We start from the raw sequence: 20,729 nt of genomic DNA on the forward strand, positions 1-20,729 counted from the left end.
TGGCTTTTGCTTATTGTTTGGATTCGCCCACGGCCTCCGTCCTTTGTGCAGCCTGATTTTTCTTGACTCGTCCTTATTTGCATAAGAGTCTCCCAGAATATTGATGTGGCTCTTTTCCAGAAAAGCGAGCATCCCCCACACTGCTGGCTCCAGGAAGCCACATGAGCAGGCCAGGCAGGCTCCAGCCCTGGTGCAACACCCCGGTGCCATCCCCTCCTCCCTGCTTCCTTGCATCCATTCACAGACCATCAGCTGAGCAAAGCTCCTCAGAGCCAAAGCTGTGTTTACCCAGGAAGCCCCAGTTCACTCTGGCAGGCCATCTCAGCACAGCAAATATGAGGAAGGAGTGATCTAACAGTCTCCCTGCCCTTGACAGAGGAGGGGCCTCAAGCTCCCAGTCACTTGAAGAGAAGGCCAAGCCTCCAGCCCTGTAGGATTATTCTGGACTGCCACAGTGAAGAAAGCAGTGTTCCAGCCCCCCACATCCAGCCCAGCCAGGGGTATCCGGAGGCAGGCATCTGAGGGAAGTGGTGTGTTTGCTCTCTAACTGGGCGACTGAGGGGGACGAGTCACAGGAAGTCCAAGAAGGCTCTTCCAGGAGCTACCTTTATGTTTCTTCATGTGTGTTCTTAGCTGGTTTTCATATTGGGAGGAAAGGGCAGGAGTGTTTTGGAAATTGATCTTTACCCCAGCTCCTGTGTTGGGCATTAGGTGGGCAGAATTCCAGCAAAACACTGCAAAGAACTGGGGGATCTGGCATAGTCACTCATCCATTCATTCATTCATTCATTCATTCACTTTTTCATTCCACCAGTCTACTGAGGACTCATTGTGTATCAGCCACTGTTTCAAGGAATAAGATAGGCCAGTTCCTAGTCTCCTGGAGCTACGTTCTAATGGGGTGGGGACAGACAATAAACAAACCTAATAGAAAAATAATTTCACACAGCGATAGGCAATCTGAAAGTCACACAGTAGGATCCTGTCATTGAGAGTGACGTGGGGCTGAGGGAGACTACTTGAAACTGGGTGGGCAGTGACATGGAAAGGGCCTTTAGGCTGGACCTGAATATCGAGATGGAGCCAGCTATGCAAAGATCTGGGGAGACAGTGTTCCAGGCAGAGGGAAGAGCGTGGGCAAGGCCCTGAGTCAGGATGGAGTTTTGCCATATGGGAGGAATGGAATGAAGGCCAGGGGGTTTGGAGAGGAGCGCTGAGTATACCCATGCTGGAGTGAGTTTACAATGTATCTGGAACTGTTCTCAATGCCTAACCTGCAACATACGTTTATCTTTACACAACACTATGACTCCCTGTTACCATTTTGGAAACTTAAGTTCAAAGAGATTGTGCAAACTTCCAAGGTCACACACTTAATCAGTGATAGAGCTGTGATATGAACTCAAGCAGTCTGATAGGGGAAGCTGTACTCTTAACCTGTACATTATACAGTCACTGCAAACTCACTTGAATGTATTAACAAAATGTTCCAAGATTGTGAAGAGGAGATGGGTCTTGGAATAGGACAGAACATTTTCCAAGGGGAATGAGGAGGGACCTGGCATTTGTTGATGGTGCCTAGGCTGAGTGCCAGGCACTGGGCTGCATGCTTTCTCATCCATTATTCTGATCCCAACCCTCCAAGGTAGACTTCATTAGCCCTGTTTTACAGATGGTGAAAGCACAGGCTCAGAGAGGTGAAGCTTCCTGCCCAGGGCCACGCAACTAATATCAGATTGACCGAGTGAGGGTTCAGGGCATCTGCCCTGGCATCTGGGCCTTTCTGACCCTCCACATTAAGCTGATGCTTTTTTGTCTCATTATTTCTTATTCCTCTCCCTCCAAAAATGAAAATGAATATCCCCAAAAATGTAAAAATCTTAACAGTAAGTGCAAACCTGCTTTAGGGTGAAGGGAATGGCGGGCTGTCAGCATGCATGTATTGTTCTTCAAATTACCTGTTACCTAGAGGGGAGGAGCAGGACCAGATCCTTCACTGTCATGGTGCCTGCTGGGTGAGCATGAGCATACATAAATACATACAGCATAAATACCTACAGCATACATGGTGCCTGCTGGGTGAGCATGAGCATACAGGCATTCCATAAATAAAAAGTAAATGTCACACCGTGCAGTGCCGCTGCGTTCTGCAAAGCTTCACCCAGGGGTCCTTGCAATTGCCAGAAGCAGGGTCAGGATTTGTCATTCTTATTCCTCTCAGGCCTTTCCTCTGGGGCTGATCCTACCTTCAGGAGACCCAGAGAGCTCATCTTGTAAGGCACCGAGAGAAGAGCCAGGCCACCATTCGGTACACACCCTCTTCACTTCTAAGCTTAAATTCTAGGTGTGAAAATTTCATCCAACCTCTTCTCTTCATTCATTCACTTGACAAATAGTTATTTGTCTGCTGTGACCTAGGCTCTGAAGATACTGTGGGGAACAGTGCAGATGAAGGCCCTGCTCTCACAGAGCTTATATTTTAGTAGAGGGATTCAGAACGTTTTTTAAAAAAAGGTAAACAAATACACATAAGTGTTATGAAAAAGATAAAACACAGTAATGACAGAAAGAGATGGGTAGGGGGAGAATGATTATTTGCACCTTTCTCTGTTTTTTCATACCCATTCATCCATCCCTCCCTTTCTCTGTCCACTCATTCATTCATCCATCCCCTACATCTCTCTCTCTCTCTATCTGTATATCTGACTATCATCTACCTACACACACATAGAAACACATATACATTTATAGATTTTCATAGATCTCTCTTTATCCCTCCCTCCTTCCCTTCTCTCCTTTCTTATTCCTTCCTTCCACAATTAATTTTTTTTTTTTTTTTTAGAGACAGGGTCTTGCTCTGTTCCCCAGGCTGGAGTGCAGTGGTGTGATTATGGCTCACTGCAGTCTGGAACTTATGGACTAAGCGATTCTCCCACCTCAGCCTCCCAACCAGCTGGGATTATAGATGTGTGCCACTACACCTGGCTCACAACTACTTTCTGACACCCACTCAGGGCCAGTTCCTCAGGATGGTTTGTCTCTTTTTTTTTTCTTCAGCTCCCCAGTGACTGGCACCTGGTCATTCGTCCCTGCCTCCTCAGTAGTGAACATACTGTTTGGCATAAGGGCAAGCATAACAAGCATTTGTGAAATTATCAAATTACAAGAATATCCTATACTTTTTTATATGCATCCAGTTACAAAGGTGCAATAGAAGCCTCTGCATGTCCTCCCAACCTTAGAATCACCACGTTCCCTGATATGAAGGATGATTATTAAAGGAAAAGCAGAGCATGTGGATAAAAGTGTATAGCCCTGTATTCGAATTTCCTTGGCATCTTTTTGAATATTCATGCAAAAGTCGAAGACTGTTCCATTTATGAATCAGTTTCCTGATTATCAATTCAACTCCACAAGCATTTGCTGCACGACTACTATGTGCAGAATGTGGTAGGGATCCATTGAAGATACAATCCTTGCCCTCCTGTTCTTTACTTCCCAGGAGGGAGATCATAATAATGTGGACAGAACTGTAAATAGAGGCACCTGGGAAGCCTCATGGAGGCCCATGAGAGGAGAGATCCCATTCCATGTTCCTGGGGCTGCCTGAAGGGATGGCTTTTGAGATTTTTCTTGAAGGAGATAGCCCATTAGCCCAGTTTGGCTGAAGGGAAGAAGGAATCAATGAAAAGTGAGAAATAACTTGTAAAAGTAGCTGGAGCCTGGAACTCCATACTGAATGGAGACTGAATTTGGAGGCGTTGGTACCCAGAGGCGGGGGAGCACAGCAGCTTTTTAATGGTGGGGGTGATGTGAAATGGAATGCCATGATCAGGTTAGAATTTGATTTCTTTGGGCTGTGGCTCACAGAGTAAATAGCATGTTCAATGTGATCTTTAAAATAAATTACAGAGATCAAAAGGGAACAGAGTAGGAGAGTTTCTGAGTGTACACAGAGGTGTAGCATTTCAGATTCATTTAATTAAAGGAGCCAACTGAGAAGGTTGTCACCCTGTCATTTAAGAATTTTTGATAGAAGAGCCAGAGGTTTCATTTTTGAAGTGGCAAATGCAAATAGACTCTTCACCATACATACGTGCTCATATCAGTTAGTAACTCTTCTTTCTCGATTTTCTTTTATAGTTAATACTGGCTTAGATTATCCTCTGGCAGGATTCACATTTACCAGAAAAACACAACCTCGCAATGAAGGAGGGTTCTGCGTTTGAGGGGATCACAGATGCTTCCCACTGAGGGATCCAGTGCCATCTCTTCTGAAGCATGTTCAAGCCCATCTGGCACCATTCTCAGTAGATGGTGGTGGCCTTTCTCTCCCTCTTTCTGTTCTACTATCATGAGATGAGACAGGAGCCATCGTGGAAGGTGGTTGGAAGCTTGGTCACTGGAGCCAGCCTGTCAGATTCAAACCCCAGCTCTAGCTCCATGCCCCTAGAGAAAGTTATTAACCTTTCTGAGCCTCACTTTCCTCATAAGAGAACAAGCAGACCTTCCTCATAGGGTTGTTTTAGGATTAAGAGCATTGATATATGCAAAGCGCTTAGTGTCTAGCATTTACTAAGCACTCAAAAAACAGTAGTATTATCTCAGCATAACAGTCTTTTTGGACTTTCAAACAACAGAAGCTTTCTCAAGACAAACCTAGGTAAACAGAAGTGGAGATCACTGTGTGAACCAGGGTTGAGAGGCTTGAGTTTTGGGCCACACAACATGGCCCCTCTCTTGTAGCAAAGAAGTCATTCTCTGGGGGTTGTGTCAGTTTCTCTTTTGGTTTTAGTTCTTGCACCTGGATCATGCTACAGATTTTCTATGTGACAGGAGGCCTCAGGTGTACTCTTTTCCCCTATGAAGTATTTTGTCCAATGTTGTGTTCCTCTGGGAATTTTGTCGTTATTCCTGGTAACAGCCACATTCTTTCACAGCATCATTTGATCTCTTAAGATTCGGGTGTATCAGGACCAGATTCTGTCCCCAGCTCTATGTGATGAACCACCAGCTTCAGCAGCCTCCTCTCACAGTCTGGGCTGCAGGTTCTTACTGAGGCTGAGCCAAACACTGGCAGCCCACGGGGCAGATGTGGCCTGTGATGTTTTGACTGGTCTTCATGATGTTGGCTCACTCAAAATTATAAAATTAATTTGAATTTGATGAGACTATATAAAATTGGGCGGTTGAATGTAAACATTTAGATTTCCAGCTGCTCCGAAGTCAGATTAGCCAGCGTCACCGGTCCTGCATTCCCACACCACAGTGATTGGCTGGAGCTGATGAGACCTGCCTGCCTTATCTGGGACACGGTCCCCACCAACCCTTTCCCTCCCTGGCTGCTCTGTCATTCTCACTCTTGCAGGGATAGAGTCAGGGCAAGAGAAAAGGGGAATGGTTCTTATACTCATTCCTTTATCAAATGTGGGAAGACTTTGGGCTTTACCTTCCCTAGTGTGGACAGTCTCAGGGATTCTCCCAGCTTATCTTCTTTGGTCCTCTTGTTTGTTTCACGGACATTCCTTCTGATGCTGCATATGTGGCCCCAGACAGAGGATTCTTAATGCTTCCAAATAACACAACACATGGTGGAGTCAGGGCTTGAATCCAGATCTTCTGGATACCATTGCAGAAGATATCTGCCCCTTCCCCACATAGTCTTCTGGCTTAGAAATTCTTGGCTAATTCACTCAGAGCCTGCTGTGTGCTGCCTGCTCCATTCTGGAGGTTCAGAGTTGGAAGACATGGACACCTGCCTTGGATCACACCCTGATCAGACCAGTGCACCCATTCATTCAACAGATAGTTATCAATAGAAATCAAATGTTTGGATATTGAGAATAGCATTATGATGAGGGTCCAGAGTATGTTATTAATAATAATGGTATAATTTTGAGCTTCTGTTATATACACAAACATATGTATAGCTACACCAAGGATTGTGCTCAAGTTTTGACTTATATTAGCTTGTTTAAGCCTCTTCCACACACTATTTAAGGCAGGTACTATTATTATCATCATTTTATGGATGACAAAACTGAGAAGCTGAAAATTTAGGAAACTTGCCCAAGATCACACAGCCAAGAAGCAGACACCAGAACCAGAGCCCCAGGCTCACAAACTTCACTACCTTGACTCCTAGGCTCTATGTTATTCTGACCATCTCTCAGCCAGGAAGTCACTCCCTTTTATACAAATGACATTGTTGGTGCTGATGGTTAAATATTTCTATTCTCACAACATGTGAAAGAGAGATCCTTGTGATTTGTTACCTAAGCCCCAAGGGTTTCTCCTACCATTTCAGAGAGATAGAAGCTTTTCTTTGCCCCTGAACTGTGACTAAGAAAACAGAAAGGAGGAAAAAGCCATCAGAAGACTAAAAATCTCTCATCTTTGCAAATAAGAATTCACTCTAACCGAGCTTTTTTGCATGCAGCACTGGGAAGAGACCTGTTTTTTATTCTATCAACTCGTCCGTATAACAATTTATTGAGAACTTGTTGTGTACCTGATGCACTGCTGGCATTGGGTATGTAAAAATCAATGCAGCATGGTCCTTTCTCCAAGTAACTCAATCTCCTGCTTGGTTCTCTTTCCTGGATCATTTTAATTATGGCTCCCCTTTAAGTAAAGGACAAACAGAGAAGTAGCACTGAGTCAGATTTTTGCCGCTGGTCTTATGCAGGTGACCTGTTTTTCTTAATGCTCCCCACACATGGGATCTGAGCCAGCTGAGCCCAGAAACCTCCCAGGCTGAGAAGGTAGTGTGGCACTTCAGCACATGAGACTGTACAGGAGTCAATACAACTGACATGTTAGCCACAGAATCCCTGCTAAGAGCTCTGGAATAGAAGGGATGCACAGCACCCCACCTGCTTTTCCTAATCCCGTGGATATCATGCTCCAGCCAGCCTTGCCCCTGGAATGGAGACATCTCAGGTAGGGGTTGTCATTGTTCCAAGCTTCGTTTGATGCCGTTTCAATCCAGGGTACAGAGTTGCCACATGGAGAGTGAAGCCACCAGAATACATAAGTGAGAAATGAATGGAAAGATGGACAGATACCTAGATAGATACATAAATACTTTGCAGAAGTCTGGGACAGTGGAACATAGGAAGAGAGCCTCAGATAGGGAGAAAACAGTAGGTTGATTGTGGTAAAGGGAAGGCTTCACTTTGTTATTCAATATACTTATTTATTGAATTGTTTAAACAATATGTATATCTTTCTAATTAAAAGAGAATTTGGGGCCAGGCACGGTGGCTCATACCTGTAATCCCAGCACTTTGGGAGGCTGAGGTGGGCGGATCACAAGGTCAGGAGTTCAAGACCAGCCTGGCCAACATGGCGAAACCCTGTCTCTACTAAAAATACAAAAAATTAGCTGGGTGTGGCTGGGTGTGGTGGTGGGTGCCTGTAATCCCAGCTACTCAGGAGGCTGAGGCAGGAGAATCACTTGAACCCAGGAGGCGGAGGTTGCAGTAAGCCGAGATTACACCATTATACTCCAGCCTGGGTGACAGAGCAAGACTCTATCTCAAAAAAAAAAAAAAAAGAGAGAGAGAGAGTTTGGGCTTTAGAATAAGACTGGAGTGTGAGTCAGTCCTAGCTTCCTCTATTTCTGAGAGTTATGTGACTGTGGGCAAATTGTTTCAGATCTCTAAACCCGCAATTCCCTTGTTTATGAAATGGAGGTCTTGGGGATTGAATGAGATTAAGTCCTGTATAAAATGCTGATGGAGCTGTCAATAACATCAGCTTTGCATTATTATTATTTGCATTATTAATAGCATTAGACGAGGCTGAGAGTCAGCTACAGAGGAGACCTCTGTGGGCAGAAGAGTTCACAGAGGAGGTAGCAAGTAGTGGTAGAGCCAGCAAGGAATGGGTTCCATTTAATGCAGCATAAAGTGAACTCCTCATTAGGGACATGCACCTCCCTCCCTTCTCAACCTGCCAGCACTTGTTTTCTCCTCGGGAGACACCTGGGATGGCAAGCATTGTATATGGTAAGGTGGCTAAGAGCATGAGCCCTGGCACCATTGGTTTTCCATTCTAGCTGTGCCACTTACTTGTTCCGAGTTAGTTTCCTCATCAGTAGAATAGGAATGGTAATTGTAACTACCTCAAGAATTGTCTCACCAATTAAGTGAGTTAATGCATGGCAAAGGCTTCACAAGAGGCTGGCACAGAGTAAGTGATTTATAAATATGAGTGCATATTCTATACTCTGGTTCTAGAGCAATCCTAAGACTTTCAAAGACCCTGAACACTCTTCCTTTTGGAGATTTCACCCCACATTTTATCAAACATACTGAAAGTCACCCACATTTCACATTAATTATTATTGTTATTATTTGCTGTAGTATGTTTAAAAGAGGTTTTAATGATTTTGCTTTTAGAAGTGTTTGGCTGTGACTAACTCATGGCTATGAAGCCTTAGCAATCGCTGGACATTTTTGAAAATCCTTTCGAAGTGAGTGATTCTAAGGAATAAATTGTTTTTAAGTGTAATAAAATTTTTATGAACATCAAACTTAACAATTAATGATGTTTATATAACATTCCATTATGTAGACATTTAATTAAGCTTTTATCTATTTTGATTTTTCAGTTTTATCTTTTTGTATTTTGAAGCCCCAAAAAATGTGTTTTCAGACCTCAGGTAAGGCAATAGATGAAGGCAGTCAGGCAGGGACCAGAAAGACCTCTTGGCCACCCCCCTGAAGCTGTGGTTCAGCAGAATCAGGCAGAGCCTGGGTGCAGAAGGGACCCATAAGCTTATCCATCCCTGTTCTTCTATTTTATGAAAGGGATAACTCAGGTCCAAGGAGGGGAGTGACTTGCCCAGAATATAGTGCAGTTTGGTTCTCCAAATGCAGAATCCTGGGCCCTTTCAAACTTGTTGTTGTTGTTGTTTGTTTATTTGTTTTTACATGTTCCAAGATGATTTTCAAGGAGTGGCTCTCAAAACCCAGGGGAGTGACCTCATGAGAGGTCAACGCAGCTGATGCTGGGAAGGCTCATACAGGTCCACCCAGGCTGCAAGTGTGTGTAACCCAATGACCAAATCAACAGTGACTTGAACCCACAGCCAGGGGAGCGTGGGTGAAATATGAGCAGACGTTTTCACCAGCTGTTAAAACCTAGCAGGGGCATTAGGAATCAATCGCAGACTGTGCCTCCTGTGACTTGGCAAACCTCCATGAGGAAGGCTCAAGGGATTGGAAGAGCAGTCACAGGTCTCCACCAGCCAAGAGCAAACCTGAGCAGAGCTAAGCACTTTTGTGCCCTCTGAAGCAAGGCAACCCCATAACCTTGCAGAGATTCAGGAATGATGGAAGCTGAGGAGCTACATGGCCATGTCAGGAGGATGACGAGATCGCCAGGCAGCTGCCATCAAGTTAGGGTTCAGAGTGGTCCTGCAGGAGAAGGGGAGATGCCCCTGCCCGGGACCACACAGGACAGAAGGGCATCTGGACAGTGCCAGGCCATGTTCAGAAAGTGAAGTGCCTTTCCCATAGGAAGGTTCTGGGCCCAAACACTTACTGAGCACCTACTGTGTAGCTGGCATATTCAATAAGTGTTAAAGGAAGGGAGAGAGAGAGAGAGACTGGGAGGGAAGAAAGGAGGAGGATGCGCCCCTGGACAGTACGTGCTGTCACTCTGAGTCTCCTCCAAGGCCAGTTTGCGGCTTCTACCTTACATCTTTATACCTTTGAATTGGATGAAATGTATTTTCTCTTGGTCATTAGGGCACTGATGCAAAATTTCAGTATGACCTTGTTGGTTCTTTCCACCTGGTCCTTAAGGTTCTGAGGACCGTGTATGAAGCAGTATCATGCAGGAGAAGAAGGCAGGCAAACCTGGTTTTGAATTCCAGCCTAGCCACTATATAGCTGTGGAATTACAGAGACATTCTTTAACCTCTCTGAAACTGAGTTTCTTCATCTGTGTAATGGGCACTAAGAAATCCTGCCTCCCAGGGCTTTAGCAAAGTACCAACACAGTCCCTGCTACATAGCAGAGGCTCCATCGATTCAGTTCCTTTTCATGTCTCATGGTCAAGGTGGCCTTGCCTGAAACTAAGACATGGCTCATTGTACTGCTCAAGTCAGAACAAGCCAAGTGTGCTTTGGGCAACTAATGTGCCTAAGCCTGGGTCATGAGAGTCCTAAAAAGGAACAGGGTGTGGCTCTGGAGCTCAGGGAAACAAAGAGTCAAATGTGGGGGAGACATAGATTTGAAAAAAAAAAAAAAGAGCCCAGGCTTGGGGTCTGGAGTCTGGGTTATCTTCCTGGCTTTGCCACAAATTTGCTGTGTCCTTGATTAAGTCACAGCAGTTCTCTGAATCTCAGTTTCCTCTTCTGTCCTGCAAGGGCAAAACTTGATGGTCTCTAAGATTCATCCTGGTTGAGCAAGTGCTAAGCTGCATAGCACAAATTTCAGATGCTTCTTTAAGTGTGTGCAAGAAGAACATTCTCAGAGATAGTTGGAGTGCCTGGGAGCGGCTAGAAAAAATTAGGGAAATGATGCCAAGATTTAGCCACAAGTGATACTACTAACTTAAGAGGCTGCTCCTGATCTCATGGGGGTCTTAAATTCTTCCCTCCAGTCCCTCTCTCGTGGGTTGTATTAGAAAGATTACTGCAGCGACTTTAAGCACAACAGGTTGGATTCAGATTAGATTTAAGGAGGGACTTCCAAACAAATGCTTTTGAAGACATGAGCTTGTAAGTGAACAGAGAGAAAGGTATCATCTACCTTTTAGAAGCCTTAAGATGCTGGGCACAGGTATATTTTGCATTCCTGAAAAGCTATCTGCTAAGAAAATACATTGACTCAATCTTGCTTAAAATGCATTGGAGTGTTCACTATTTAAAGTCATGGGGATGCCCTTAAATTCACCTGTTTATAAATACAAGCTTTGTTAAACCAGGTTCTTAAAGTGAAGTTTCCCTAGCTGGATCTCTCTCACAAAAAGTTCAAATGTAATCTTTCTCAGAGGCAGAAAAATAAATTCATTTTCAAGGTTCCTTTCAGACCTATGGGTCCAGGAATGCATCAAATATAAGGAAAATGTGTAGGATGTTTCTGTATTGGCCAACATGCCTGGTTTCTGTCCCTGGAGGGCCTGCAGAGCCAGCACTGTCTTCCTTGAGTATGTCTCAATCATGAACACCAGGCAAAACCACAGGAGCAATACAATGGTATCATTGTTCTGGAGAGTTTATTCTGGGGCTTACTAGATGTTGAGTAGAATTTGGAATCCCATTTGACTTCCATTTACTCTGCACTTTGTACTTTGCAGTAATAAGACTGTCAGTGCCATGAGGGCAGGGACTATGTGTGATTTGCTTCTCATTGCCTGGTATGGAATGGGTACTCAATAAATAATGGTGAATAAATGAATGAATGAATTAATTAAAATGGACACATCAATTCTAGTTGACTTTCTGGCCTTTAGCCAGGGACTTAACTGCTCTGAGCCCCAGTTTCTGCATCCATAGCATGGGGATAGTAAGAGTTCCTACTTTGTAGGATTGTCATCAGAATTCAATGAGACAAAATAGACAAAGTACTTAGCACATTGTTTAGAACGTAATAGGCACTCAACCAATGTTAGCTTAGTACTACTTTTTCTGTGTAAAACTATGTTGTCCTTTCCACAGCCCTGTAAGGAGAAGTATACCATTCCCACTGAACAGATGAGAAAACTGAGGCTCAGAGGTGTCAGGTGACTGCTCCAGGTCACAGGTGGGACTGGGACTCCTTGGTCTGCCTCTTTCTACTGCTAAACAGTCTGGTGAAATCACAGAAAGACTCATTCCTGGTAATGAGACACTAGAGGCAATGCGCGAGGAAGCCTCAGGAATATTTGGAAACCCTTCTGAGTTTTTCAGCTCCCCAGAGTACCCTGGCTTTGTGGGGTGAAGTCCTTTGATTGTCTCAGGTTCCTGGTCTGTTCATGACCCTGTTAGCCCAAAAGCTGGTAGAGCTCCATGTACTGCTACTGTTCTTTGTCTCCCTGACTCTCCCCTGCTCCCCACCTGCATTGCCTTAGGCATTTATTATTTCCTTAAACATGCCTATTTGCAGAGACACACTGAGCTAAGCAGCAAAAGTGGAGGTTTCCAGTGGGAAGTCCACTGCGAGGGAGTAGGGCGTCAGGAGAGGTCCTACCAGCTCACCTTGACTGAGATGCTCATATGCTGTGCTTTTGAAAATGCAAGCAGTGCAAGAACATTTAAAATTCACCCAGGGGATACGTTCCCTGTGTGGAACCAAGCAAACATGAGTGCAAGTGTGAAACATGACGTCCACATGCACATAGAAGGACAAAACACAGTCTTTGTCAACTTGATTATCTACCCTGTGGTGAGAAATGAGGGCCTGGCTAAATGGAACACAGATAATCTGGAAACTTTGTTTTGCAAAAAAAAAAGGCACCTACCCCATTTATACTTTACTGCACTGTTATTAATAAGAAGCTTATGAATCTATTAGATATGGTCTTTGCCTTCCTTCTCCATTCTAAGCTTGGGTTTCTGGGGACAGTGAAAAGCCCCAAAGGTGGGAAAAGCAAGAGGAGGGCAAACAGAAAATCTGCAAACTCCATCATCCGAATAACAGGGCTGATGGTTTAGAATGTTCTGCTTGAAAAGCTGGTGTGCATATTTAAATTACAGCTTTCCATACACAGAAAGGGCAGCTGTTACCATTAGCCCAGCCCCCTTTCCGTCTTACTATTAAAATAGAGGACAAAAGGGGTGCTTTCTTTTCCTGGGTTTCTTTTTTTTTGGTATAAATTTACAAAATGTGGTTTAAATATTGATTGTATAGGAACAATGTCACATTTTAAGATTGAGTGTTAGGCGTGGAGCTCTCTTGAAGATGGTTAAGTATGTATTAAGGCCAGGAAAAAAGCTGGTGTGCAGCAATGCCCAGCAATAGAGGGCATTCAGGCAGGAGGGGCTGTCATTCATCAGCTACCCAGTCACCCTCATAATTGGTTCAGGGCAAAGGGGTCTCACCTTTTCATGCTTCTCTGTTTTGCCAAAAATACTTAAGAGAGTGGGGGAAAAACCTAGTACGCTTTGTGTCTCTCAAAGACAATGTGTTTTATCAGCATTAGCAACTCATAGTTGGCTAAGGAATGAGGCAGGTTCCTAGAATCCAAATCAAACAGCTCCCGTTAGTAAACTACTAACTTATAAAGTATTTAAGCCTAGGACTGGGCAGAAACAACATATGAAAATGTAGGTAGCATTGCAGAATATTCTGATGAGTAGAAATCATGTATAAAAAGCACAAACTGGCTGGGCATGGTGGCTCATGCCTGTAATCCCAGCACTTTGGGAGGCCGAGGGGGGCGGATCATGAGGTCAGGACATTGAGACCATCCTGGCTAACATGGTGAAACCCTGTCTGTACTAAAAATACAAAAAAAATAGCTGGGCGTGGTGGTGCACGCCTGCAGTCCCAGCTACTTGGGAGGCTGAGGCAGGAGAATCGCTTGAACCTGAGATCACACCACTGCACTCCAGCCTGGGTGACAGAGAGAGACTCCGTCTCAAAAGAAAAAAAAAAAAGGAACAAACTATTCCCAACAACTCTAGGGGAGTCCAGAAGATCATTCTGCAGAAGTAGAACTGGTGTGATGGCTTGATGTTACCAAAAAGAAGTTTATGGTTCAACATAAGGAAGAACTTTCTAACAATTCTAATAGTCCACAGGGTGATGGAATTTCTGATTAGGTAGAGATTTCTCTCTCTTTGGAATCTTGCAAGCAGAGGTCACTGAATCTTTTATTGGGAATGCTTCACAGAGGATCATGCATAAAGGTAAGTGTTGGACTAAAGGACTTTAGGGAGTCCGTCCAGTTCTCAGGTCTCCAACTGTGTGTTACTTGGCCTTGACTAGATATTTTACTAACAGGTGCCATCCTAGTTATTCCACATCCTTAGAGTCATCGTAGATCTAGAGAGATCTAGAAGTAGTTCTGTGGAAACCAGGTAGAATGCTCAGAGGGCAAAATAGGAAATACAACAATAGGATGGAAAAGAGGTTTGGCCAGGAAAAGAGGAAACAGAAGCACTTCAGAGAGCTGAGCCTGCAATATTTGGAAGGGGTGCAAACAGCTTGTTTGGTTTCTGTTGAGGTCCAGATAAGAGTAAATAGGTTAAATTAAATTCGACCATGTAAAGCTAGATCATCAGAGGCAGAGTGTCGGATCTCAGGCTATCAGTCCCTCAAAGAACTGCCTTTATTGAAGGTGGATGAGGGAACGGTCAGGTTGAGGAGCATTTTATGCTTTTGTGAAACTGATGAAGGCAAGGTCTACCCTGCCTCTCTGAGTTCTTTTATAAGTACCCATGATAAATTTCCACCAGTGTATAGTTCCAGAGGAGGAAATAATGTAGTTCCTACAGAAAGCTGTGTATGCCTTCCATGTCAAAAGATAAAACCTCTGTACATGGGTATCTTTGTTTTTCTTAGCTGTTAGAGAATTCAGAGACAGATCCTTGGGTATTTACATCTGCTCATTTATGGTGCCTGAAAGGTGCTATTTCTGGTTCTTGTAGCAGATGAACTCATTTCAGGCCATTGATAATATTAATATGTCTTGTTTTTCAGCCTGCCATTCATCTCACATCTTTTGGGAAGTGAGTAGGCTCAAATCTCATATACTCAAGATGAAATGGAATAAAAAGGAAAATTATTGATTAGAAAGAAACATGAGGTTCTAAGATAGGTTTTCAAGGTGGATTGGAGGATTTCTATCACTTAAAATGACCAATAATGGAGGGCCAGCCATTTGACTCAATATTCTTGGCCATCATTAGTCACCTGTACTTGTGTGGTAATATTCGGGTCTCTATATTGTTGTCCCCTCCTCCCACAATCCATGGTTTTACTTTCCATGGTTTGTTACTTGCAGTTAATTGTGGTCCAAAAATATTAAATGGAAAATCCACAGATAAATAATTCATAAGTTTTAAATTGTGTTCTGTTCTGAGTCATGTGATGAAATCCTACTCTCTTTGCCTAGGATGTGAATCATCCCTTTGTCCAGTATATTCACACTGTACAGGTATGCATGCATAGGAAAAAATCATAGTATATATAGGGTTCAGTATAGGCTATGAACTGAATATATATACTAGGGTTCATAGTATATATAGGTTCACTATCCATGGAGTCTTGGAACATATCCCTGAGGACTAAGAAAGACGACTGTAACTATCATGGTAAACACCCCAGTATATTGCATGAGTGAGTGATGGTAGTGAGACACTGTTTAGGTCAACCTGTTGCCCATTTGCAATTTCATGCATGTAGGGAGATCAGTCATATGTCCTACAATTGTCATTGGCCATAGATGAGGGGGCATAAATGGGTAGCCCCCCAAGGGCAATTAATGGATCATCATCATCTCTAACATTTCCACACCTAGGATAAATGCTGTCAGAGTTCTGGTATCTGTGAAGGTTTGTGGAATTAAATTAAGATGAATGGAATATAATTGAAGTGACTTGAACTACACTGAACAGAATTAAATTGAATTGCCTAGTCTTGCCTTGCATCAGGGGAATGTATTACCTTTGCCTGCTAATCAACTCTAACAACAGTGCAAGAATAAGTATAGCATGCTGAGCATAATGTTTGAAATTTAAACGTGTTCATTTTAAAACTATTGACTGTGCACCTTTTACATTCAGGCACTGTGTTGGATGCTGGGAAAACATGGTGGACTAAGCAGACATTTCTCTGCCTCAAGGAGCTCCACCTAGGAAAGGAGACAAGCACTAAACAAGTCTTGAATAAATAAATATCTAATTAAAATTGTGACAAGTGCTAAGAAGGACAAGTATAAAGTTTTTTAAGAAGAATAGAAGCCAGGCCGGGTGCAGTGGCTCACGCCCGTAATCCCAGCACTTTGGGAGGCCGAGGTGGGCAGATTACTAGAAGTTAGGAGTTCAAGACCAGCCTGGCCAACATGGTGAAACCCCATCTCTACTAAAAATACAAAAAATTAGCTGAGTGTGGTGGCAGGCACCTGTAATCCCAGCTACTCAGGAGGCTGAGGCAGGAGAATCACTTGAACCCAGGAGGCGGAGGTTGCAGTGAGCCGAGATCGTGCCACTGCACTCCAGCCTGGGTGAAAAAGTGAGACTCTGTCCCAAAAAAAAAAAAAAAAATGGAGAAAAAGAATAGAGGCCAGAACTTACTAGAACAAACCAACTTGTCCAACTTGGAGAAAGCCAGTGTGTCTGAGCAGAGTGGTGGCTGATGAACCTGGGCTAAGGGCTTCACGCTTTATTGTGGCTAAGTAGAGATGTGAGTAATAGGACTGGGTTTTTAAAAAGTCTACTCTGGTTGCTCCCTGGAGGGGAGGGAGCAAGATTGGAGGCAGAGGACAGTTAGGAGGCTATTGCTGTAGTATAAGGGAGACATCGTGGTGGACTGACCTGGGGTGGAGAGAAAAGGAGAGAGTCTGGCCATATGTTATAGGTGCAGTCAGAAAGAACTTGGTCAAGAGTTGGATATGGCCAGTCAGAAAAAGTGGTAAAGATGTCAAAGGTTTCCATAGAGGCAACCGGAAAGTGGGGGAGGATGGAGGTTCCATTTCCCAAGAGAAAGAAGAGAACCAGATTTGGGGTGAGCAAAGGTGTGAAGATGAAGAATTCCAACTGAGCATCTTGAGTTTGAGATGCCTGCAAACATTCACCTGGAGTTGTCAGACAGGTAGTTGTGTCTATCACTAGATCTGCAAATATGTGCTGAAAGCCTAACCTGTGTCAGGCTCCATGGTGGGTTAGACAAAGAGGTTAGACAAGATCCCTAACCTCTAGGAACGTATTGTCTGTTGCTTGAAATGACATATTGGAAAATACGGCACTAAAAAGTAGGGAATGATAACTCTTAGAGAGAAAGAGAAGGAAATAGGGCATACCATAGGAGTTGAAAGGGGAAGAGAGCACTTTCTGCTGAGATGGCAAGTGTCAAGGTAGACGTCAAAATAAGGAGAAAGGGTATCGAGGCCAGACTGGGGATGAGGCAGAATTCTCCTTGCCCAGAACAGAGAAAGCCTTAGCTCCCCTGTCCCTGCCTGGCTATATTCTGCAAATACCCCTAGGCCAGGTATAGGATGGGAAGTGGAAGGGTAAGGGTGGAAGCTCTAGCTGGGCTAAGGCCAAGGGTGGAAGAATTGACATTTTGATGCTTAAGTGGGGCTTTGGGACTCTCTTTACAGTTACAGTTCCCATCCCTGAAATATCTACTGGGTTCCCCTGGAATATGTGTTTCAGGAAACTACACCTTCTACCCCTCTGCTCTGTGTTCATAAGGTGCTGTAACCAAAAGAGAGTTTGGGAAGGCCTGAGGATGCTCTTCATAATGTTGCCTCTTTAAAGTGGTCCACGTGGGGTGGGTATCAGTTTATGTCCATGAACTGATGAGATGGATGATGACAGATCCCTTATTTTCTCTAAATCAAATTAAATCCAACCCACAGCAGCCCTGACCTGACTTGGCTGGCATTGACAGGAACTCAATCTCAGCCTTTGATTAGGCCTCCATCCCTCTCTGCTCCCTCCCCATCCAGAGAGTCATACAAAAGTCCCTGGGGACCTATGCTTAGCAGTGCATTCATGGTGACTCCTCTGGTCCTAGGCCCATTGTGGTCACTGCTGATATTCTCATTGTACAATTGTGCATGTCCCTTAGAGCTGGAGGCTTTGCTGGTTTGGTAGTGCTGGGCCCAGGGACCAGCCATCACAGGGGCACTTACACAGCCGTTCCCCTCCGGTGCACATCAAAGCAGGAGTTACTGATCTTTGCTACCCAGAATGTTAACCCACCCCCTCACCCAGTCTTGGGAGTCTCTTTTCACCCTTTCTTTGCCTCAGTTTCTGCCTCTTCCTCCCTACCAGCAGCATTTTTCCCTCTTCCTTCCCCCTAGCATCATTCACTCACTACAGATGCTCTCTAAGGCCCTGGCTCTTATCCTTGAGCACCCAGCAGAGTCCCCGGGAAGGCTGGTTGAACATAGACCGCTGGGCCTACCCCTAGATGCTCTAATTCAGTGGGTGTGGGGTGGAGCCTGAGAATGTGCATTTCAAATAAGTTTTCGGATGCTGCTGCTGCAGCTCCAGGGCCCACACAGAGAGAACCACTGCTTCAAGGGGAGGGAGCAAAAGTCCTACCCTCATGGAAGTGGCAGGATTGGGGGAGGGAGAAGGGGGAGGAGAATTAAAGAAAGGTTGAGGTACAAATAAATATTTCCACCACCTTCCCTGCCATCTACCACCTCCTGTTGAATGATGAAATTCTACTGACCAGAACATAATTCAGATGCAGATTTGGGGGAACTCATCTGTGTGCAGAGGAAGACCCAGGAGAATTACATTCTGTGCTTTATCCTCGGTGACCACAGGCCTTTTCTTAGCCTGGAGTTCAGGACTTCTGGATTGGGACTCCCGGACTCTGGCCCCCATCAGGCAGTTTCCAGAAAGTTGCTCCGCTCCCACCCCCAAGCTCAGACTATAAATTTCTTTTCTGTTGCCTTGGCCTGTCATTGGGAAGACTGGCATCATCTGCAGAATGTATTTGCAAGTAAAATGTTCAAGCAGCAGGAGAGAGGCCTGGGAGGGGGCAGCTAGACGCAGTGAACTGTGTCAGACAGGTGGCTCATGGGAGCTGGCGGCCCTGTGGCCAGCTCTTCTGCTGGAATAGAAACCCAGCATCTCCGCCTGGAGGGCTTCCTTTTGCCACTTTTCTCAGTGCCCAGAGAAAGGGCCACCCTTGAAGGGGCCATGGTCAAAGTTGGTAAGCCAAAAGTCAGCCCTTCTGCCTCATCTCCCAGCAGCAGTACTATACCAGGTGATCAGGCTGGAGCTGCCCTGTCTTCAAATCTTATTGGTGCCATGTAGTAGCTGAGTATAGTTTCAGATGAGCTGCTTCTCCCCTCGGAGCAAAAGTGTCTTCATTTGTAAAAGGTGTATAATAATGGCATCTACTTCTCAATGTTGCTTGGAGGATTCAAAGGGGGAACTGCATGTAAATTGCTTAGCTAGTATCTGGCACATAGCACATGTGCAAATAAAGGTGAGTCTCCGTCGCTCATGACTATTATTCTGTTCTGCATATTGGCATTCATATCTGTTTTCCTCATGGACTTTGAGCTCCTTGAGAGAAGGAGCCAGGTCTGATTCCCTTTTGAATCAATTCATTCAATCGCCAAACATCTGTTGAAGCCCTACTGTGTGCCACTTGCTGTGCTAGGGGCCCATCATCCATTGCTGCACATAGTATGTAAGTGTTACTTGATGGTTAATGAGTGAAAGGGGAGGATTGCAGAGAAGGCTTACAAAAGATACATTTTCTTGAATACCCACTGTGTGCTAAGGCAATGCTCCTTAAATTTCCATGGGCCTAATACCCACCTGCAGATCTTAGAATCACATTCTGATTCTTCAGCTGCGGGCTGGGGCTTGCAGTTCTTCATTTCTAAGAAGCTCCCAGGTGATGCTAATGCTGCTGGTCCACAGGCCACACTCTGAGTAGCAAGATAGACACTCCTTTGCATTATGTCACTTATTGCTTGCAAAACATTATGGGATGAGCTTAGAAATGAGAATTCATAGAGATTAAATAGCTTGCTGAAGATCACACAGCTGGCTAGTGTTGGAGTCAGGTCAGCATGGCTCATTTTTGTCTATTGAGCTCACTCACCCTTAAGAGCAGTGGTTCCCAATGTTTGCCACATATTAAGATCACCCAGGGAGCGTTAAACATCCCAATGTCGGGAGAGCTGGTGGCAGGTAATTCTAATGTGCAGCAGAGTTTAGGAACCATGGCCTCAGAGTCCAACCTCATCCAAGGAACAAGAAAGGAAAGGAGAAGAATTTTGACATCTCTCTAATTTCAGGAACCAATTATAGACTTTCAGAATTTGGAGGTCTAGGCCTCTTTTGATGTTACAGATGAGGAAACTGAGGCCTATAGAGGTTAAAATATTCACCCAAAATCATTTAACTCATTGATGGCAAAGTTAGGACTAGAACTCAGGCCTCTGGGCTCTCACCTTTGACGTGGTTCCTGTGCTGGAGGAGGAATCCAGGAACAGATTATCCACTGGAAAAAGGCTTCTCCATGCTCCTCCATCAGCTGGGACCTTGGAGACTCAAAGGAGACCTAGGTTTCCCTAGGATGAACCAGGGAAAAATCCACTGCCTTCCGAAGAGCAGGAAGTTTTCCTTTGCAATATTCTGCCAATCTCGAAATGGCAATGTGCAACAGAACATACTTTGAAGTTGTAAGGCCTTTAAAATTCCAAGATGAAATATATAATCCCATTATGGTAGGAGCATAATTGGTGGCTTGATTTAGTGCAGTAAGGATTTATTGTTTTAATCATAACATAATGTACATTGGTTGGTTGCTTCATAACAAAGATAAAATGGGCTGCAAATGTGTACAGTAAGATTATTTTGGGGGGCGGGGGTTGAGGAAATGGCATGACTCAGAGTTTAAAAGCCCCAAATCTTAGCTGTGCCTGTGTAGCTTTACCACATAACCCATTGATAACTTATCCCTATGATGTGCTGGTATGCTTAAGTGTAACCATTTATTGAGCACTTATTCTGTGAGCAGAATGGCATTATCCACTTAGGGAATGTAATCACATTCAATCTATATAAGATCCCCATGAAGTCAGCATT

The 20,729-nt window shown here is 44.4% G+C and overlaps 2 protein-coding genes across 6 annotated transcripts in view, besides 1 other annotated feature; one reads left to right on the forward strand and one right to left on the reverse strand.

The window, feature by feature from the left end:
* The window catches only part of DOCK2 (dedicator of cytokinesis 2), a 446,108-nt gene that overhangs the window by 308,516 nt on the left and 116,863 nt on the right, over nucleotides 1-20,729 (forward strand). The window lies entirely within an intron of this gene.
* The window catches only part of INSYN2B (inhibitory synaptic factor family member 2B), a 119,193-nt gene that overhangs the window by 84,488 nt on the left and 13,976 nt on the right, over nucleotides 1-20,729 (reverse strand). The window lies entirely within an intron of this gene.
* Nucleotides 75-369: a silencer, noted in NCBI's record as "tiled region #8772; HepG2 Repressive non-DNase unmatched - State 24:Quies, and K562 Repressive non-DNase unmatched - State 19:H4K20". NCBI's record gives its function as "represses a minimal TATA promoter and a strong SV40 promoter by Sharpr-MPRA in HepG2 and K562 cells {active_cell/tissue: HepG2 | K562}" and the evidence as "EXISTENCE:reporter gene assay evidence [ECO:0000049][PMID:27701403]".

The sequence above is a fragment of the Homo sapiens genome, chromosome 5 (genome assembly GCF_000001405.40).
Source record: "Homo sapiens chromosome 5, GRCh38.p14 Primary Assembly".
Classification (NCBI taxonomy): domain Eukaryota; kingdom Metazoa; phylum Chordata; class Mammalia; order Primates; family Hominidae; genus Homo; species Homo sapiens.